This window comes from Homo sapiens, chromosome 3, assembly GCF_000001405.40.
Source record: "Homo sapiens chromosome 3, GRCh38.p14 Primary Assembly".
Classification (NCBI taxonomy): Eukaryota; Metazoa; Chordata; class Mammalia; order Primates; family Hominidae; genus Homo; species Homo sapiens.
This window is the reverse complement of record NC_000003.12, coordinates 24393003-24415740: the sequence shown is the minus strand read 5'-3', so window position 1 is coordinate 24415740 and position 22738 is coordinate 24393003. Positions and strand designations below refer to the sequence as shown.

The window sequence follows — 22738 nt, the reverse complement described above, 5'->3', positions numbered from 1 at the left end:
GTTCCAGACTGCTGGAATCCCTTAATTTGAAATAAATAATTATTTTTATGGTTCTTTGAGAATGGCAGTCCTTTAATACCTTATAGTTTGGATTTCTTGAAATATTTTTTTTCTCAACTACATGTGCCGTTGAATTCATTAAAAAATTGTTCAGTAACAGTCCTTAACAAAAGTAGCTTCTGTGGTGTTGACAACCATGCCTTTTCCTTTGAAATAAAAACAAGTATTTATCCAAAACTAGGCAGAAACAGTTAACTTGATTAGAGAGCACTAAATTTATTGTAGAGTCAATCCTGCAAAATCAAAAGGGGATAGATTCCTTATGGACTCTTGCCTGATAAGATTTTTACCCTGTTTGCAAGCTAACAAATTAGCTTATCTCATTTCATAAATGATGGCAGAAAGAATGATATTCTTGGATCAGATATGAAGGAGAGTTTGTTAGTCACAGCAATAGCAGTAGCTGGAGTATCAGCATTTTCCTATGCCTGTTCCCTGAGTCCCAATTCCCACAAGGTAATGCACAGAGATCCAGGGAACACCTGTACATGCAGCAAGTTGCATTACTGGAAGGGACCCTGAGCTTACCAAACCTGAATCTTTTATAATGGGATGTTTAAGTATGCCTTGCCTTTGATGCAGCAAGAGACTGTCTCTACCCTTCAAGTTTCTTCAGTATACATTTTTGGAAAGCTACTCTGGAACAAAGGCAGTCAGAACCTCTATTCACAAGATGTGCAGAAACTTGAAAGACCGGTGGAAACTTGCCCACCAAAAATGCCATGGAAAATACTGTGTTTTTGAACACATTAACTTGAGCCTTTTAGAGATGAGTTTCAGCTAATGCCGTTTCATTTTAGACATTTTATTTATTAGAAAATAGACAGATTTTCTAGGAAATCACTTTTTCTACCAGAATGGGTACCATTTGTTAAGGTTACTAATAATACAGTATTCATGCAAATATTTGTTTTTCTTTATTTTCCTCCTAATATAATGCATCTCTCTCCAGAATACAGCTGAAGAGATGTTTTATATTTTACCCCTTTAAGTGATCATTTAGTATAGGAATTACGTGGCTGTTGCAGATTTCGGTATTCTAAAAGACAAAATTCAAAACTGAATTCTCTGGGAACATTGAAGCATATCCTGAAGCGGCAATATTTTTGTTTGTATATTTTTAAAAATATCTTGTAATTTGGCTATGTCCGGATGGCTAAGGAAAATATTTTACTTAACTTTTTTTTTGGCCTGAATTATCACACAAGTGTTTAAGCATATTTTCCCTTGATTGTATTGTAGAGCTTTTAACACATAGATATGTTCTGTTTATTTAACATGCCTGGAAGGACTCAGGAAGGAGAACCAATAAATACGTTCTTACCATTAACTTTGGGCTTCTGCCGAATTGACTTTGTCAAGTAAATTTGACATGCTTAACACTGGGAGTGATTATTTACCATCTTCTGAATTAATATAAAGAATTCACAGTCAGATTTTTGTTCTTGCAAACAGACTTTTCTCTTTAAAAAGATGTGTTTTCATGGCTGCATATTATGTTTCAGTTATGCAATGTCTTTCCTGAATTCCCTCTTTGCACCAGTGCCATTGCTATTAGGGTGAAGTTGATGGAATGCACTGTTTCCATTTGCTTATACAAGTGAATTGCTACTCTCTATATATCTATTTGAAACATAACTGAAAATGCAAATATACTATGGAGGTCCAATTTTTAAAATATGGAGTCACGCTCAATTAACAGTAACAAACTTGTGTGATCTTTATCTTTCCTGTTTTGTAGAATTAATAGGTAATTGGTTTTCTGTCCTTGCGATAGTTTGCTCAGAATGATGGTTTCCAGCTTCATCCATCCTTCATACAAAGGATATGAACTCATCCTTTTTTATGGCTGCATACTATTCCATGGGGTATGTTCTCACTCATAGGTGGGAATTGAACAACGAGAACACTTGGACACAGGGTGGGGAACATCACACACTGGGGCCTGTCGTGGGGTCGGGGATGGGGGAGGGATAGCATTAGGAGGTATACCTAATGTAAATGATGAGTTAATGGGTGCAGCACACCAACATGGCACATGTATACATATGTAACAAACCTGCACGTTGTGTACACGTACCCTAGAACTTAAAGTATCATAAAAAAAATCAGAGATGAAAAAGAAAAAAAAAGTTAATAGGTCAATGTTTTTAATTTCAATTGTGAATATTAAGACTGTTATTGAGTGGCATTTGGATTTCTTTATTTTTCTAAATATATGTGGCAAATGCTGCTGCCAATACTTAAATATAAACATATTCTCCCTTTTTTTAATCCCCAAAGAATTTACCATATAGAATTCTTTGAAGAGGATTAGAATGTGGACATATTTTTGGGGAGACCACCCTTCAGCCCACTACACCTATCCTGAGCAACTTTTTAACCTCATATTGTAACACAAGAATGTTTTCATTTTATTAAAATTCTTTGCAAATATCTTTTCAAATGGTCCTTAACATTTGCTGGATGCATCACAATGATCACTTCAACTATTGTTGAACATAAGAAATTGACTATTTAAAATAATATTGCAGTAAACATTTTTGTGTATAAAGCTGTTCTTCCATATTTTGAGATTGTTTCCTCCTTAATTTTTAGAAGTGAGTTCAGTGGGCCAGAGGGTTGTACCAACTTACAATCCACCTATAATGTAAGAAAGCCTCTTTAACTGCTCCTTTGTATTTAAAGTTTTTTTTGGTAAATTGATAAGTGGAAAATGGTATATTATTTAAATTTGTATTTCCTAGAGCATTAATACAATTAGATTTTTTTCTCACATATTTTAAATGGAATATTATTCATTTTTAAAATTTTCTGTGTCCTCTGACCAATTATCTATTGGCTAATGCTTTTTAAAAATATCTTAATAATCTTGTATGAACTTTAAATTGTAAAAATAGTGACTTTTAAATTTGTGCCGTAAATGTTTTTCTGAGTTGGTGGTTTGCTCTTGAATTTGATAATTTGTGATAATTTGATAATTTGGAGTTTGGACAAATGTAAATATCCCTTTTCATTTATGTTGGGATGCTTTACTGAGGTTTTCCTTTGTATTTCTCCCACTTGACACAGTAGGAGAATATGAGAAAATCTTCCTATATTTGGAGAGCCAGTGCATTTAATTTTCTCCTAGCTTTGTTTGGTAACTCTTTAATCCATCTGTACTTTTATTTTGATACATGAAGAGAAGTGAGATAACTTTTTCCAAACTTTTCCCAAGCTCCTAAACAGTTATCTCAAAATCATTATTATTGAGTAATCCATCTCTTTACTGTTGATTTGTGATGACTTCTTTGTAATTTTTTAAAGCTTCTCATATAAACTGGGGTTTATTTGGAAGACATGTATTTTATCACATCTATCTATTTTTGGCCAATATGAGAGACTAAAATTATTGAAATTTTAAGCTATGTTTTAATATATAAGCAAATCAGGTCATGAAGTTCTCATTTGTCTCTAAATCAGATAAGACTTTTGTTTAAATAAAATGCTGTCATCCATGTTATAAAAGCAAATTAGCTAGCATATGGATTATCTTGCCAATAATTAATATCAGCCTTTATTGCTATAAATTAGCACTAATATTTTTTAATAACTCATAATGGAGTACTCTGTACATGTCATGTTTATATCTTTCCCTCTCCTGCACCTATCCTATCTCCAAATTCATTGCTAAATAATATACTGTATTTAGAAACGTCCTGAAAACTTGATTTGACACAAACTCTTTCAGGGTGCTGATTTCTTTCTCCCTCAGCCACAGTAATGACCCGATGCTACTCAGCTGATCAGATCCCTGCATTCTGATTTGGTTATTTAGATCAGGGTTTCTCAACCTTGGCACTGTTGATATATGGGGTTAAATAATTCTCTGTTGTATCCTACACATTGTAGGATGCTTAGTAACATCCCCCACTAGTTTCCAGTAGCACCATCCTCTTTCTCCATCCCCATCCCCACCCCTAGTGTGACAACCAAAAAATGTTCCCAGGTATTGCCAAATGTCTCTTGTGGGACAAAACTGTCCCCACTGAGAGTTATTGATTCAGATAAAAGTAGTCAGGCAGCATGTAGCGTAATAAATTTAACTTTTATTCATTTATTATTATTATTTATAATATTAGTAATACAATCAGGGTAGATCTCGAGCCTTCCAATTAATTGCACAATGGTCCACTATCATTGGGCTCACAAAAATTAACCCCAGGGCATTCTGCTTTGCCATGTGATTTAAATATGACCATAGTAAGAACAGTGACATTATGATTGCTCAAAGTAAAACATCTCAGAGATCTCTTTTGGCTCACCTGTCCCTACTTAACCTATGTTGATGGTAAATTTGAAAAGTTGTCGATTTGATAACCATATTGGTACATGCAAATGAATTATGCCCTGAATTTTAATCTAATATTTTTTGATATTGAGAAAATGGCCCAAATTTTAAGACCGTCATTCTATGAATCATCTTGCCTTTGACTTTAGCATATAACCATGGCTGTCTGAGCCAGTTAGCTCAGAGGGGTTTTACAAGATGATAATGAGGCCAATGTTGCAGTTTCAATTAGCTTCACAGAAGAAAAAGCCAGCTTCACAGCAGCAGACTGCACTGCTAACCCCAGCCACCACACTCAGCCAATGGTCAAAAGAAAGAGGAGAACAGAGAATGTTGCCGACTCAGCACTCCCAGGACCATTTAGCCTGGACAAGTAAAGGTCATATCTCTTTGATGATGATGAACCATCCGCATTATATTCCTACACCAATTCACTGCAGAAACACATAATGAAGAGTACTCTCTAAATCAGAGCTCCCTTTATAGCCAACATAGATCATTCAGGCAAAGACTTTTTTGTTAAAAATTTTGTTGTGAATTAACAAATAGGATAGCTGCAGTTTTAGAAGGTATTTAAATAACTTTTACTTTGCTTTTGAATTTGCAGTATTAACCATGCATTTGAAGTAAGTACATTTTGTCCACTCATGAAATTATTTCCTAATAGTTCACTTAAAGGAATGGGTCAAATGAGCATAAATTTGCCTGCCATTATGTAAATATAATGGCTCATCAGGTAATTTTCTTCATTGAAATGGGAAGACTTGTATAAGTGTTGAAATGGAGACTGAATTTTACTTGCATTTAAAATTTGTTTTTTATTGTCAAAGGGGTATTTACAGGGATCCCTGGGACAAATTTTCCTAATATTAATGTATGTGTTATACAAAATGTAGCCACCTTGGAAATACGGCTCTCTGCATCTATTTTTTATTCCAAAGATTGTACTCAATTCTGCTTTTGGAATATTTGCATTTTTGCTGCTGACCTACTGCATGGAATTCAATGGAGACCCATGAAACTAGGCCAATTTGGTTTATAGTCTCAATTTCAGAATGAAGACACATTTGCTTCTTTCTATTTACCCCTGGTCTTTGAATTTTGATCATACTCATCCAATCCCAAGCCACATTTTCCCAGTAGGGAGCTTCTGGAGGTTAATATTATTTTTCTAATGATTTTCCTTTCTCACTGCTTTCTAAATTTTTCTTCTGGCTTATCAAGAAAGGCATAGGAATTTTACCAGCAGTGTTGGTAGTATATTCTGGTAATGAATAGATATTCAGTTTCAGGCTCTTCTATTCAAAATGTATTCATCAAAATGCAATCAACTTTCATAGCCTATGGAGAAAATAGCTTTTAGAAATTGGCATTTACCTCACCTCATCAAAGGTCTGCTTAACACATTGAAATAATCTGAATGAATAGCAATAGGTAAACCAGACAGATTGAGCCTTGAATGCAGGAATGTCTACAGATATTTCCATGGACTGTTTCTTACCCAGTGAGTTCAGGAACATATGGAATCCTGGCTTTCAGGGGTATTTTTTACATTATTTTCTACAGTTGTAGCTGCATGGGTACCACATTTTCCCAACTGCTTGTTTGTTAGTATTGTGTTCAGAATCTCTTGTTTCAAAATGCATGATGTTCTCCTCTTTTTAAAAATCCTAATATTTTTCAAGTGTTTCTGTGTGTCAGGCACTGTGCTAAGCACTTTCATGGATTAGTTCATTTAATTCATTTAATTTTACAGTGGCCATATGGCATACACTAGCTACTGTAATTCTCCTTGTACAGCTAAGGAAACTGAGGGGTAGAAGTTAGTCAGAGGCCCAGGATAATACAGCTGATACTAACACATGACAGAGCCAGAATGTGACTTAGTTCTGTATGAATCCAGAGCCCATATTCTTAACTGCTATGCTATATTGCCTCCCAGAAGTCATTATCACAAAGGGTTTGCATTATTTTTTATTTCCAATAATAACATAATTTTATTTGTTCATCATACTTGATTTAAAACAAATAAAAATGATACCCAAATATCTTTCATATCAACCAAACCAAGACTCCTATAGAGTGGAGCCTGTCTGTGCAAATTTAACTTACAGTGGGGCCTTTATCTTTAGTTTTCATGCGTTTAAATCTGTAGTCAGGGATTGGTTCATGTTTTGAGTCATCGTATTTCACTCCCTATGACATTTCGGGTACCTAAAACATGTTCACTGATGTTTTGAAGAATGGAATTTCCACCACTTCCTTTAGAAGACTATAAATAAAAAATGATAGAAAGTGTCAAACTGTAATTACATTGAGGGTTTTAGTAACCTCATAAACCATAAGAATGAAATACCAAAAAAATTTTTTTCAACTGCCACCATCAAAATCTCATTTGCTGATTCCATTTTTGCAGCATTGATGGAAGTAATCCAGTTAGGCTGACATTTTTATAGAGTATAGTTTAATGTTCAAATAAGCCCTGTGTTATTTCACCATTTTTATTTTTTTATGGAAAGGATTTTTTTTCTTCTGTAATGATTTGAACTGTGTTATAAAGTAAATGAAAATGTGTCTTGTTGGTTGGATTGTGACTCCAGCAGACACATTTTAGTTGATGTAAAGGTCTTTGCCATAATCACAGTTGATGTTTACAAATACACACCTCCTTTAATTTTTAATGCTGATTGTATTTCTTAATGCATCTAATCACAGAAAATCTGTCAAAAAGGAAAGCTTTGGTCTCAAACATATGCTTGGGTTTCTGTTAGCAGGAAACAAATGTCCAAATATGATTGCATACCAGCTCACACACATGCTCATGCACGTGCTCACACTTGTACTCAAGTATGGATCCAAGTGTGAACCTGGTGACATAGTGGCACTTAGAGCCAAATACTAAACATATGTCGAAATTTGGTGTGATCACAACAGCAGAATGGTACAATATTGTTTCATTCATTCTGATGCAGGAAGAGAAGCCAAATGACAGCAAATCATGAAACAAATGTTACTCCCTTCTCAGAGCGTTATGTCTGAATAATTGAGTGAAAAATAAGACCAATTTGTTTCAGTCTGATTTTCTTGTCATTGGTAAATTGATGGATATATTTCTATTCACTTCTAAGAGAAAATAAGCTGACAAACCTTTAATGGTTGAGACATGTTAGATAAAACTGCTGGTATTTGATGGTTTCTGCCCTATAGATCAAAATATGTCTATCATTCATCAAAAAATAGTATTAGCAAATTCAGTTGTTCAATCTGACAGAATGTTTATTGTATTCATTTTCTCCTTTTAATATTTATTTCTAGCTGTACTTTTTAAAAGATGGCATACTTTTTAATCATATGAAAAGGCATAACTTTAAAGATGGACCTCATTCATACGAATAACTTGTTTATGAGTCAAATATTTTCGATATATTTTATCCATGAATTCCCTCATGAGTGCTCAAGATAGAGCAGTTGATCGTCACTAGCAAATTTCACCAAAGATGAGAATTACAATTATTTCTGTATCCTTTGGTACCTTGGCTAATAGACAAGAGTAAAGAGAAAAGTAAATGGTGGCCAAATGATAACTCCTCTAAGAAATCCTCCTATACCATGCTAGGAAGTTACAAAGAGACAAAATGGCACATCAGTTCATAGAATGAAAATGCCTTTGAGATTATCCAACGCAACAGTTCTCAATGACCCAGTAAGAGGGTCTAGATTCATATGAATAGGTTGCCATGAGCAGCAAGGTCTCTTGTATGCAATTTGTTTCTAATGTTCAAAGTACTGAAATCAGCTAATTATTTCATTCTTTTACAAATTAAAATGGATTTGAAATTATCCTTTTAAAAATGTCACACTAACTCACTAGAATTGCAAATCATAAAGAAGTGCAGTGTCAGCTGGTAGGTCTGGTATTATATACACATCCCCTGAAAATATGTTTGGGAATGAATCGCGCATGAAAATATATGGGTGATATTTCTTACCGGAAAAAAAAATGTTTGCAATCTGTGGATCTAGGCACCTCCCACAACCTTTCCCAGGATCAGCAGCAATTGCGGAATTCATAAACAGAAAGTTGACATGTACATGGAATCAGCAAAGGGTCGTATTCCTGAGGGACATTTCTCCAGGGCATGGTGGGGCCTGGAGAAATGCCTATGCCATCGCTAGAGGACACGTTTTTCATAACTGGATGCTTCTAGCTCTTGAGCTCTGTGTTTTCTTCTTGTGGACAGTGCCCAATACCCACTGCCAAAGTTTGTTTTCTCAGTTCAGTTTATCTAAAGTGGCCATGCCCCAGAAGTTGACCTTTTCTTTCTTTGGATGTGCTAATATCATGGATTAAGCTCCATAATTGGTCTTGGTCCAGTGGCTATTCCCATAGACCTAGAAGTGTTAACTTAATTAGCTCAATTGCAGGAGAACCTTATTCTTTTACATATTCACCTGTTATGTAGATGGTTGGATGGCACTTCACTGTTGCCCCACTTACCAAGAAATTAAAATCTAAATCTGATTCCAATTGTTTTGTTGCTGTTTTCAACTGCATGATTGTGATGTCTCTCTCTATTATTTAGTGGAGTACATTTATACCAAATCTCATTTTTAATCTTATTTTATGTATCTCACTTTGTTATTTATAATTTGCCTAAGTATATCATCTTAACAGCTCTAAACTATTCTAGGGATAGAAAAACATGTGACTATCTCAATTTCTTTTTTTTTTTAAGAGTACAAGCAAACCTAACAAAGATGATACCAAACCCTTATAAATCAAACTCACAAGTTAAAAAAATTCCAAGTAAAATTCTGGCAAATTTAGTCTTGCAGACATTATAAACAATAACAAACCATGACCACAAGAGCGGATTCTTAAAAATGCAAGAAATTTTTACTACTAGAGAAATCTGCTGTTACAATAGATGCTATCAATAGGTTAAATGAGAAAATTTCTATCATTTTTATAGGTGACCAAAGTACTTGATTTAATATAATTGCTGATAAAAACTCTTAATGTAACAAACATAGAAGGTTAATTAGTTTTAAAAGATTCTTTTTTAAAAGATTAAATATCCACTTAATTATAAAATTCTCTATATATTTCAAAATGAGAAATAAGAAGGAATATAAATTAATGATAATTTTTCTCAAAAGTCTAGCAAATATAATGACAAGGAAAAAAGGTCATGTGATTAGGGAAGTGAAACAAATCTCCATTTGTCTGTACTGAAAATTTAAAAGAATCAACTGAAAAAAGCTATTAAAACTGTCAAGCATTTAATATAGTATCTACTTAAAAATCAAAGTGTACTTGTTAGTCATAATCAATTAGAAAATAAACAAAAAACACATATCACATTAGCAACTCTAAAATAGAAAATAACTAGGACTAAATATAAAAAGAAATTTATAAGACCACTTTAAAATATATATAAAATAATTTGGAAGATGACATTTAATAAGAAAATATTCTATACTAATTGACAGAAAGAATCAATATTTTAGAAATATAAATCTCCCCAAAGTAATCCAACAATTTAATGCAACTGAAATAAAAATTACTGGGCGATTCGTTCAGTAATGTGACAAAATACTTTAAAAATTCATGTGGAAGAAAAAAAAGCAAAATAGTCAATGAATTATTAAAGTAATCAATGTTCCAAAAAGGTTAAGAATAATTATATCAAAAGAAAAGACTTGATCAAGTTGCTACATAATATACAAAGCTGTATACAATGAAAAAAACTGTAAACAAAATTAAATGGCTACAAATGCAATGGGAAAACATCTACAAGACATAATTTTTAAATATATAAAGTAGTATTACAAATATGTAGTAAAGACACTGGATTCCTATGAATCCAATAGACCAAAGGCCCACAAACTTTTTCTGTAAAGGGCAAATAGTTAATACTTTTGATTTTGCAGGTGCCACAGTCTATTTTGCTACTACTAAACTCTGTCCTTGTAATTCAAAAGCGGCCATAGACAGTCTGTAAACAAACAGTCATGACTGTGTTACAGTAAAACTTTATTTGTGAAAATAGGAAGTGGTCCAAATTTGGCCCACAGAATATAGCGTGCCAACGCCTGCAATAGACCTGTGACATGTTTGCTGCCTATATTCCAGATACACTTAAAAGCAAGCATGCTCAACATGAGGCTTGTTGAGAAACAGGATGCTCAACAAATATATGCTGAATGAACAAGTGAATAAATAAAAGAAAACAACCCACGAAAACAGAAACTAAAGTCACCAGTAAACATATAAAATTGTTCAAACTCACACAGTGAAAGAGGCAAATTAAAATCATGATAAAACATTTGGTTACTCTTGGATTCACAAGGTCTGCTTGTTTTTTCTTTAATGATCATTCTTAGGTTTGGTAAGGTTATAGACTAATGCATAGCCTCATATGCTGCTGGTAGGCTTTTTTACTTTTATTTTAGTTATATACATAAATAAGAAATTAATTAATTAGAAAATAATATAAGGAGATCTGTCTAGCCCTGGATTGGCAGTCCTCAAATTATTTGATCTTATTCTTAAAAATTGTTGAGAACTCCAAAGAAATTGTGTTTATTAATGTTTCTAATGTTTCTTTACCACATTAGAAATTACAAGAGAAACATTTAAAATATTTGTTAATTCATTTAAAGTAGTAATAATAAATTCTTTATATGTTGCCATAAATAACATTTTTCATGACAATAGTTAAATTTTTGCAAAGGAAAAATAACAAAAACAAAAAATGATTGAGAAGAGCAGCATTGTTTACAATTTTGCATGTCTGGCCTAATAGAAGTCAACTGAATTCTCATATCTATTCTCATTTTGCTTTCATTCTATTGTGGTATGCTTTTTTGTTGAAGTATGTGAAGAAAATTAATCCGCAAACAGTTATGGCATTGTAAAAAGGAAGAGTATTTTATTAGCCTTTTATGATAAGTGTGAAAATTCTGCTTTGATACTACACCAAAACTCAACAAGTTGTAGATTCTTCAAGGACAGTTGCAATATGGAGTTTGAAACCCTATCACTGAACTTTTTGTACCCTGTTACATTAAAATCCATTTGTTTATCTTGCACTTTCAATGGATCTTTTACTCATGCATGATTTTGTAATACCATGCATTGATTTAAAAATATTGGTTCACTGAGTTATGCAGATCTTCCAGATGTAGACACATTTCATTATATAGTACAATATTCAGGATTCTATTTATTACATCTCCACAGATCTGAGTAAAGTCTTTAACTATGGGAATCTATCAAGCCCACGATGGTATATATGAATTTTCCAAAATTCTAATTTTCATTTGAAAGCTTGAATTTTATCATTGGCGACAAATACTTTCAGTTGTTTTTGTTGAAGTGACAGACTCTTTATTCACTTTTGAGAAAAAGTGAAACACCCAAGTCTGAAAATCAAAGTTTGTTTCTCAGTGACTCTTTCAAGAAAAACTAAATTATGTTATATGAAGAAAGCAGGTAGTTCAGCTTACAGTTAATCAGTCACACAAGTGCTTTTCCTCAAGACAACCCTCAAACTTCTATCTGCAACAGCAGTGCCATATGTATACTTGCCCTTTCGTCACTTGGAAAATTTTGTGCTTAATGGTTGAGATTTAATTAAAATAATTTTTACTGTTTAATCAAGGACATTTTTAAGTGGAACTGGCTTATTTTGTTTTTCTGCAATTGTATGGTGCGAGACATATAATGACTACGTGTTCAGGTGCTGCCGCTACCTTGATTCGTGCCACAGATTTACTCCTTACTGCTTTTACCAACAGTGCAAATGTCAACACAGTGAAAAAGTAATGCCTTAGTAGTATTATGAAAATAATTTTGGCCTCACAGATATCCTACAAGAGGCTTGGAGTCCCCCAGAATTTCTCGGATACATTGAGAACTGTGTCCTAGATTTGAGAAATGTTAACGTTTTATCTTATTTGCTCCAAAATTGTTTGTTAATAAAATTAATATTATGGATCCAGCTAAAACTCCTACATCTCTTCCCTAGTCTCCTTTTGCAGAGATTAACCGTTATGTTGAAGTAAGAGTATTCTTTCTGTACATGATTTTGTACTTCCCCTATGTATGTAAAGATCCACAACAGTATATTTTTATTTTGTTTTGAAAAAATTTTACATAAATGATTCCATTCTGTATGTATGCTTTTACCAAGATTTTTTCACTCAATGTTATGACATTCTGTTTTTCAGAGATCTATGTTGTTATGTATAGATCTAGCTCATATATTTTTCTTGCTGTGTGACAAATGTATGAATTTATTGCTGTGTGACAAATATATGAATTCCTGGATTAACGAATATTTAGATTGTTTCCAAATTTTTACTATTTTAAATATTTCTTTAAATAAGGTCACTCTAGGTGATCAATTGTTCTATCTATATTGTCAAGTTGTCTCCAACATGGCTTTATCAATTTACAGCATGGTGTGGTTCTAACCTGGTACTGTCTTTCTGGAGATAATTTGGCAGTGCGTATCAAATACTTCATAAAAAGGCGGAGTTGACATTTCTGGGTCAAAAATTATAAGAGTTGACCATAATGGTCATTTGGCCATCATTATTTATAAAACTGAGAACCTGGATAACAGCTTCTAGATGTTTAATGATAGGTAATTAGTTAAATAAATGGTAGTATCTTTTAGTTGATGATAATGTAGTCATTGTATATCCTAATTGTGTTTAATTGATACATTTTATATTTTATCAAAATGAGTGATAGGAAATTTTAATTTTCTTCTTTGTGTTTTTTATTTTCTACTTTTGTTATTGAGGAAATATGTTGTTACCAAAAAAAAAAAAAAAAGGAAGAAAGAAGGGTTGGTGAATATTTTGAAACCTCATCCCAAATTAAGTGTCAAATCAGACCAAAAAAGTAGAACAGCAGTTCCCAAATTTGACAGTGCACAGATGCATTAGAGAGCTTGTGGCAACCCCTCAAGGTGTTGATTTGGTCAGATTGGGGATCAATGACACCCTGAAATGCATAAACCTCACATATTAAGAAATACTAATTTAGAAACTAATTTGATCTGATATGCCTACATTGATGAACCATAAGGAGTCTTGTAATTTTCAATATTCTGCAGGCAAAAGAATCAAACAGTGGCTGGGGAAAAGTTCTACTGGTGCCTCTCCTTGTGTCGGCCAAAGCTGAGGGCAGGAGCCTCTGTAACATCCTGATGGTGGGGTTGGGGGCAGAGCTCTGTTTTCTAAAAACCTGTCCCAGACTTTACTTTCTTCTCCTTGGCTTAATCTGCCTCAGACTTTGCTTTCTTTTCCTTGGCTTTGGCAGCCTGCCCTGTAGCAGACAAGGTAAAGCCTGCAGGTGGTAGCTCAGGTGTTCATCCTCAGTTCTCTCCCAGCCCTCTTTCTTCTCTAACACCTGGGCCACTTCCTCTATTGAGCAGAGCTTCTCAAATTTGTGCATCAGAATCTTTGGGTGAGCTTTTTTAAACACATATTTATCCCCCTACCCTAGAGCGTCTTATTCTGTAGGTCTGACAAGGAGCCAGAAATCTGCATCTAAAATAAACTCCCAAGTGTTAGGGAAACTGCTGGTCCAGGGACCACACTGAAGTAGCGCAAATCAGACTCACTGTGGAGAGCCAGCCTGGGACACAAGGGGGTTGAGTCATAAAATGTTATTCACTGCAATTTAGAAATGCAGTAAGAACACTAAACTTAAAACTATATCCTCATTAGGAGGCTAGGCAGAGTTATTGATAGACGTGGAAGCAGTAGCAGTAACAGCATTGCTAGTAGTAGTGGTAATCCTTAGAAAGCAATAATAATAAAAGACCTAGTGATAATAGTAAAATCAATAACGAAATAAAATAAATAACTAGGGAGTATTTTTCCTCCCATGTTTTGACAAAGCTCTTGAACATGAGATAATCTTTTGAATGCAAAAAAAGTCTCTTTAAATGGATATATTACATTTTCAGTGAAAGCAAGGTCTTTAAAAACATGCCAGACCTTATGATCCAGAAAAAGCTGTTTCTTTTCCTCCTGCAGGGTATTATTTATCTTTGGCTAATAGCTTTAGCCCAGCCATTTTTATAGCCTCACATGTTATCAAAAGTGTTTTTATTGCTTAATCTAACTACTCCCTTTCTCAACCTAGTGCATTAATCGTGCCTTTAGAGGCCAGGTGTAAACTGAAGTCTATATAAAAGGGATGGACTTTTTTTTTAAAAGCTCGTTTGTGTTTTCCTCTTTGTGTTAAATTATGAATGTGATAATTGGTGGTTAATGAGATGTAAGTACTGTAGTCTCAGACACTTTGGGTTATTCATGTCTCTGCACCATTTTCATCTGGCCCTCATTTTCCAAACACCAGACCTGTAATTATGCCAAAAATCTATCCAAGCCAGATAATATTTTGTTTTTTCTTATTACTACTTACAGAGCATGAAGTTGTGGAAAGTGTTGGACTTGCAAAGCTAATTTTAGTCCCCCAGTGAAAGTTCTGAGGGGCAACTCAATAAGGTAAAATTAAAGGTATATGAATCACGGATTTCAGAGTTTACAGAGACATTTAGTAAGCATCTGATCTAGCCATTTAGCTTTAGGATCAACCCCATTTTGCTGGTGAATTAGCCATGGCTTACAACAATGAAATATATATAGACCTACGATTCAACCTGGAGATCTGTCTGGCCCTACAGCTAGTAGCACTGTGCCTCGTTTGAAGGAGTTGGACGCCTGTCTTTTGCCTTCCTGCAAGGTGTTTTTTTCATTGCATCATGCTATTGCCAGTCTACCTTGAACTCTTTTTGAGTGTTTTTCATAAGCTTTTGCTGTTTCATTTATGTTTAATTTGTGTGGTATCATTCAATGACTGTGTCCTTGCAACAGATATTTTGATGTACTAAATTTGTACACATACCTGAGTTGGGAAAGGAGATGCATTTTGTTTTGCATAAAAAAAATCTAGGTCTCATGTTTACATTTAAAATATCAGGCTTTGTTTCCACTAAAGTGGTAATCTTTCTAAAAATGTCCCTCACATTGAAGGACATCCAAAAGGCAGTAACTCATTAGAACCTTGGGTTCAGATTACAAATGTGTTTGGCTAGCTCAGTATTGAAGTTCAAATTATCTTGGAATTATTTTAAATATTTGTACAGGAACACTGATTAGTTTACTAACGTGTTGCCTATCCACTAATAACCACCTTGGCCTATGGTCATTAACTCCTAGGGCTCAAGCAAACTCTCAGCAAAGAGAATTTGCTTCAGTGTTTGAAGCCGTCATTTGGTGTCTTCACCCCAGGACTTGGAAGTGTTGACTCAGAAAAGGAATTTGAAAACAGTTTTTATAACTGCATTTTATTCTTTGAGCAGAAGAGTTGAGAGAAAAAAGTTCTGGTGAGGTAACGTCCTCCCCTACCTTCTTCCCCTCCTTTTTTGGTAGTTAATATTTTCTGATTATTTACATTCAACTGGAGACCAAGAATGTGGTATAAGGAAAAGAATGTCAGTGTAGAGTCAGCACACCTGGGATATGGTTCTGGCTCTGTATTCAATGCGTGACCTTAGACAAGTCATTTAATTTCTCTGGGTGTTTGTTTCTATAAATGAGAAAGTGACATAGGTCATTCTTAAGCTGTTTTTCAGCCAGAAGAGTCTGTAAATATGTAAATTTTTCCAAGAGAAGCTAAACTAGCTAGAAGATCGTATGAGGGTTACACAGACCCGTGCCTTCCTTATTTGTTACCTTTTGACAGGGCCAGCTTCAAGGACTGCAACCTGCACAGTCACACAGGGCCTCAAGCTCAGAGGGGCTCTGTACTTGGTTTAATGCAGTGCTGTCACCATCTTACAATTCTCATTATTCCTAAACAGGGCCCTGAATTTTCATTTTGCTCTGGGCCAGATAAATCATATAGCTAGTGCTGCCTTTTGGTAATACATTTTTTCCCAGTTCATCTGTTGGTTGAAAAGAAAAAAGGAATTATAACCTCAAATTGGTCACTTTTGTCACCATTATGCCCTTCAGGTAGACTGAGGGAGGCATAATTTTGACACAATTATATATGTGGACTTTTGGGGTCATTTTCTTTTTTTTTTTTTAATTATACTTTATGTTCTAGGGTACATGTGCACAACGTGCAGGTTTGTTATATATGTATACATGTGCCATGTTGGTGTGCTGCACCCATTAACTCATCATTTACATGAGGTATATCTCCTAATGCTATCCCTCCCCACTCCCCCCACCCCACAACAGGCCCCGGTGTGTGATGTTCCCCTTCCTGTGTCCAAGTGTTCTCATTGTTCAATTCCCACCTATGAGTGAGAACATACGGTGTTTGGTTTTTTGTCCTTGCGATAGTTTGCTGAGAATGATGGTATCCAGCTTCATCCATCTCCCTACAAAGGACATGAACTCATCATTTTTTATGGCTGCATAGTATTCCATGGTGTATATGTGCCACATTTTCTTAATCCAGTCTATCATTGTTGGACATTTGGGTTGGTTCCAAGTCTTTGCTATTGTGAATAGTGCCGCAATAAACTTACGTGTGCATGTGTCTTTACAGCAGCATGATTTATAATCCTTTGGGTATATACCCAGTAATGGGATGGCTGGGTCAAATGGTATTTCTAGTTCTAGATCCCTGAGGAATCGCCACACTGACTTCCACAATGGTTGAACTAGTTTACAGTCCCACCAACAGTGTAAAAGTCTTCCTTTTTCTCCACATCCTCTCCAGCACCTGTTGTTTCCTGACTTTTTAATGATCGCCATTCTAACTGGTGTGAGATGGTATCTCATTGTGGTTTTGATTTGCATTTCTTTGATGGCCAGTGATGATGAGCATTTTTTCATGTGTCTGTTGGCTGCATAAGTGTCTTCCTTTGAAAAGTGTCTGTTCATATCCTTCGCCCACTTGTTGATGGGGTTGTTTTTTTCTTGTAAATTTGTTTGAGTTCTTTGTAGATTCTGGATATTAGCCCTTTGTCAGATGAGTAGATTGCAAAAGTTTTCTCCCATTCTGTAGGTTGCCTGTTCACTCTGATGGTACTTTCTTTTGCTGTGCAGCAGTTCTTTAGTTTAATTAGATCTTTTGGGGTCATTTTCAATGACCTAGGTTTCTGATTGCCCACATTTTCCCTCTTCTATGCTTCTTTGCCCCACCTCAATCCATTTTTTTAAAAAATGAGAGTTAATTACTGGTATTTACCAAGTATTTTCAGTCTGTCTATTCAACATCATTATGTCCATTGATACATAAGCAGTTATAGTATAAGATAGAAGATACTTTTGGCTTTGAATTATTGTTTTGTTGTATATTTTTACTTTCTTGCAGAGGCTACAATTACAATAGCTTGACAACTAGAGAGAATTCTTCGGTCTGACGCCACCAGTAGAGGGATTTCTCTCTATGTGTTATGTGGGCTGTTTCCCTCAGCAGCTGGTTTGTTCTGACCAGATGAGCTCCACTTCCCTCTTTGAGAAGGCCGAGGTGGGTGGATCACAAGGTCAGGAGTTTGAAACCAGCCTGACCAACATAGTGAAACCCCGTCTCTACTAAAAATACAAAAAAATTAGCCAGGTGTGGTGGCAGGTGCCTGTAATCTCAACTACTTGGGAGGCTGAGGCAGGAGAATCGCTTGAACCCAGGAGGCAGATAGCACCACTGCACTCCAGCCTGGGCGACAGTGTGACACTCTATCTCAGAAAAAAAAAAAAAAAAGACTTGCTAAAGGTGCTAAGATGTGCATTCATGCAGGGGCCAGCTTGATTGTCTATGTTAATGCTAATAAAAATTACTCTGTGACTGCAAGGAACATATGGCTTCTTGGCTTACACAATATTGTGTGCTAAAGGATGAAAGAGCAAAAGACGGAAAAAACGTTTTTTAGGTATGTGCTGATGGATGATGGAGTTTTATGTTATGAGTCTGGTTTCAGAAACTTGGAGCAAATCTCTAAGCAACTATATGGCCAAGTTACATATCACATCAATGGCAATAATTTGTTTTGATGGGCCCCTCTGGGGTGTCTATTTCAAACTAATCTTCAAAATTTTTCTCTTGCAAACCCAGTGTTTGTAATCTTCCAAGATGCTCTTTTTGCCCTCAGTTCATAATGTTTTATTCCACTTGTTTAAAAATTCATCAGAGCTGACTTTTTATTATATTAACAACATCTGAATGTTTTAAAATATTTTGTCTTTTTATGTCACTAAACTGAATTTAAATGATAATATCTATGCTGAGTTCTAATTGTTTCCCTGGGTCCTGACTTTTAGACTGGGGAGCATACTGTTTTCATTTCTTAAGTCACATAAACTGGTATTTGAATTTCCAATTGTGCTTAAGAATAGCAAAAAAAGAACTGGTAAATTTTTTAAAAGAATGCAGTTGGTCATTCAACATTTTTATATCTGGTATTGATAGCCAGGAAAGCACTAGACACAGCTTCCACTTTCGTTGTATCCAATGCATTGCATTTTCCCAGCATTAAATTTATAGTTGTGAAACTTTGGGATTTTAAACGAAAAGAACCAAAGTGAAACTCCTCAAGTAATTAGATAAATGCTTTGGTTCTGTGCATTTTATTTCAAAACACCTTTTTGAACACTGCTTTACAAAGATTTCAAAGAAAGAGCCATGGAAGCCTAAACACACAGGTTACTTGTGAAAACAGAGGAAATCGGAGGCCCTAGTTTAGAGCGCTCACCCAGTGGTGCATAGTTTCTTTCCAGGAAAGGAGGTGCAGTGTCTTCTCACAAGTGTTGGTCTCTACTATAGAGTGGCCCTGCAGGTGACAATTAGCATCACAGTGAAAACTGGCAAGAGTTGGAGGCAACACCTCACTTCAAAGATGTCATCTATTGAAACACTAGGCAGAAACACCCACAGAGTGAAGTGAATACTGTGGCATTTTACCCCTTGAAAGGAACTCAGTGTTTTCACCGTTGGCCAAACGTTGTAATCACCTGCACAAAGAAAAAATGTCTGGGTTCTACCCACAGAGATTCTGATATAACTGGTCTAGGGTATGGCCCAGGCATTGGGATTTGAGAAATGCCCCAGATGATTTTAAGGGGCAGCCGTAGCTGAGAACTAAGGTCTATAGTGAGGTATGTGGGTGTGTGTATATATAGAAAAAATATATATATGCCTATATATATATATATGCCTTGTGGAGATACAATTCACATACCATACTATTCACTCATTAAAAGTGTACATTCAATGGTTTTTAGTGTATTCACAGAATTGTGTCACCATCACCACAATCAATTTTACATTTTCATCACCTCAAAAAGAAATCCACTAGCAGTCAGTCCCCATTTCTCCCACTCTACCTCTAGGCAACTACTTATCTACTTTCTGTCTGTATACAGTTGCCCATTCTGGATATTCCATATAAACGGAACCATATAATTCTACATTTTGTTTACCCATTCACCAGTTGGTGGATATTTGAGTTGCTCTAACTTTTTGGCTATTATGAATAATACTGCTATAAACATTCATGTACAAGTTTTTTTGTGGGCATACATTTTCATTTATCTTGGATATATATCTAGGAGTATAATTGCTGGATCATATGGTAGCTTTATGTTTAACTATTGGAGAAACTGCCAGACTGTTTTCCAAAGTGGTTGCGCCATTTGCATTCCCTTCACCAGCATATAAGGGTTCCAATTTCTCTACATCCTTGCCAACACTTGTTTTTATCTTGTTTTGATGATAGCCATTCTAGTGGGTGTGAAATGGTATATCGCTGTAGTTTTGATTTGCGTGTACTGCAAATCAAGTTGAACGTCTTTTTATGTGCTTTTTGCCCACTTGTTTATCATCTTTGGAGAAACTTCTAATTTAGATCCTTTGCCTATTTTCCAATTGGATTATTCGTTTTATCATTATTGAGTTATAATAGTCCTTTACGTATTTTAGATACAGATTTCTTATAAGATATATGATTTTCAAATATATTCTTCTCTTCTGTGGGTTGTCTTTTCACTTTCTTGAAGGCCTTCACTGAAGCACAAAAGTTTTAATTTTGAAGAAGTCAAATTTTATATTTTCTTTGTTGCTTGTGCTTCTGGTGTCATATCTAAAAAAAGCTTTGCATAACCCAAGGTCATGAAATTTTTCTCCTGTATTTTCTTCTAGGAGTTTTATAGTTTTAGCCCTTACATTTAGGTTTATAATCCATTTTGAGTTAATTTTTCCATATGACATGAGGAAGGGTTCCAGCTTCATTCTTCTGCATGTGGATATTCTAGAGTGAGTTTTTAAAATAGCCTCCTCATCAATGTGACAAACTTCATGGGGCATGGCTCATGAGGCATCTATGCCAATAATAAATTTCCAGAGAGTTCCAGCTTCCTTCTGCTCTCTGCCAGAGTGTCTATACACTGGTATAAAGTCTAAACACACACTTGGAGCTACCAACAAACACATTTACATAGTCTCTATTTAGTAAGCTGAGGTTTCTCTGCTTGCAGGGGGACACTTAGGAATTAAGTGAAGCGTGATATCAGGCATTAAAGGTTTTCAAAGGAATTGTTCTTCCTTTATTGCACGAATCCACACAAATACATTTAAACTACAGTGTGTGACCTGTGAGTCAGGAAGTGCCTTGCTGAATGCTGTGGTGCTATTTGATGATGTTTCATTGCTTTCTGCTCCTGCCTGTTTGAGTGAGGAAAGACCCTTCCTGAAATTTTTGAGTCAGAAGTTACTTCTAGGAAGGTTATGACATTTTCTTCTCTGAAACTGCTTAAAAGCAGACGAAGCATCCCTCCAAAAAGTCCAAAGTAGAGATGTATGATCCATACCCAATGTTCTGTGCTGCTGTAGGGAGGTGGCAGGTAGGATTAGAAACAGTTCCCCAGGAAGTAGGGAAACCCTCATCAGCCAGGCCACCAGATGGAGAGCCCAAGTCAAGGAATAAGTCAAGTTCTTTCCTCTCTTTAGCTCTAAAAGTACTGGCTCTCACTCAGGTAGATTTGTCTTTCACAAATGGCCTCTGTACTTCTCTAATGTCCTTCTGCACTCCTGGCTTAAGAGGGGCACATTAATATATACTCTAAGAGACTATGTTGAAACTTCTCTCACATCCCATAAAGGCTCTGGGCAAATACTCTTTTACCTCAAGAAACAAGCAAGGAAAATAGGCACAGAATTTTATAGATCTGAGTTCAAATCCTGGCCCCACCACACAACCTCGATTATTTTCAGTGAATTGTTTAACTTCTTTGAGCCTTATCTTCCCTTTCTATGATATAGAAATAAAAATATCTATTGAAGATCATTGTGGGATTAACTGAGAAAAACAAATGTAAAATTCCTGGACCAAGTTGGGAGCTCAATATATTTTATTCCTCCCTCCCTTTCAATACCAAAGGAGATATGGTGGACCCCCAGTTTCAAACCTCATTTTTTCAGTCTTGAATTCAAAGATTTTAAAAGGCCATTAGCAAAAATGGACATTGGATTTACCACTGGACACATCAGATCCATCTCCTACATTATTCTGTTCCTTAAGTGGTTGTAAAGTCTTCATTCTTTGGCAGAGGATAGGACCTCACCTTTTGGGGTCTTCCTGCCACCTTAAGTAAAACATTGCTACTGTCCATGACTTTGCTGATACGTCAGCATTTCAGTGAAGTACCCAGCTGTTTAAAACAGCAGGTATTTATTTTCTTTACTGTGAATATGCAAGGATGAAATGTAGCTGCCTGTTTTTGGAAACGCTTTCTTGGTCTATGTCATTTGGTTAGGTTAAGCAATGGAATGTATTGTGACCTTGGTCTGTGCCCTGACCTCTCCCAGGTGCCCCTAGAACTTGTTTATGCAGATATTTATGGGCCAAGAAGCTGAACCTAAGCCCAAACTCCCCTCAGCTACTTTTCTGTGAAAGGTTAATTGTTCAGCAGGAGTATTTATGTGACTGGAAAAAGGCTTTGAGCAAGACGAGTGTGTAAAACTCTGTTCAGCAGAAGTTACTGCAAGGAGTGATGGGATCTGGCATGGTTCTTTGAGTGATAGTGGGTATTCAGTCGTCTTAAGGACTTCCATTGCCATGATATAAAAATAACTGATCTTCTCTTTCATGGGCCTCCCTGAAATGTTCTGCAGATTATGATGTAAAATAACAAGCAAGGCAGGGAAGGACTTCCTTCCAAGGACAATGTATAGATTCAATTAGTGACATCTGTGTTATTTGTATTTGTATGGAACTAAGTCCAGTTGTTTTCCACAGAAAAAAACTCAGAAGTCTGCTTGATGATGTGTCAAAAATTGGGAACAACACATTTGAAAACTACAAACAA

General features: G+C 35.4%; 1 protein-coding gene across 53 annotated transcripts in view, besides 1 other annotated feature; it reads left to right on the top strand.

The window, feature by feature from the left end:
* THRB (thyroid hormone receptor beta) overlaps positions 1-22738 on the top strand; it is a 378556-nt gene that overhangs the window by 79968 nt on the left and 275850 nt on the right. For 7 of the 53 annotated variants that reach the window (XM_047448811.1, XM_047448791.1, XM_047448806.1 and 4 more), the window contains exon 2: positions 22669-22738. The exons of 45 other annotated variants lie outside the window; for them this stretch is intronic. The gene's annotated coding sequence lies outside the window, so the exon portion shown is untranslated. One more of the 53 variants, XM_024453737.2, reaches the window with a different exon arrangement.
* Positions 18967-19532: an enhancer, noted in NCBI's record as "OCT4-NANOG hESC enhancer chr3:24437700-24438265 (GRCh37/hg19 assembly coordinates)". NCBI's record gives its function as "activates a minimal SCP1, AML or CMV promoter by ChIP-STARR-seq in naive H9 embryonic stem cells {active_cell/tissue: H9 hESC(naive)}" and the evidence as "EXISTENCE:reporter gene assay evidence [ECO:0000049][PMID:30033119]".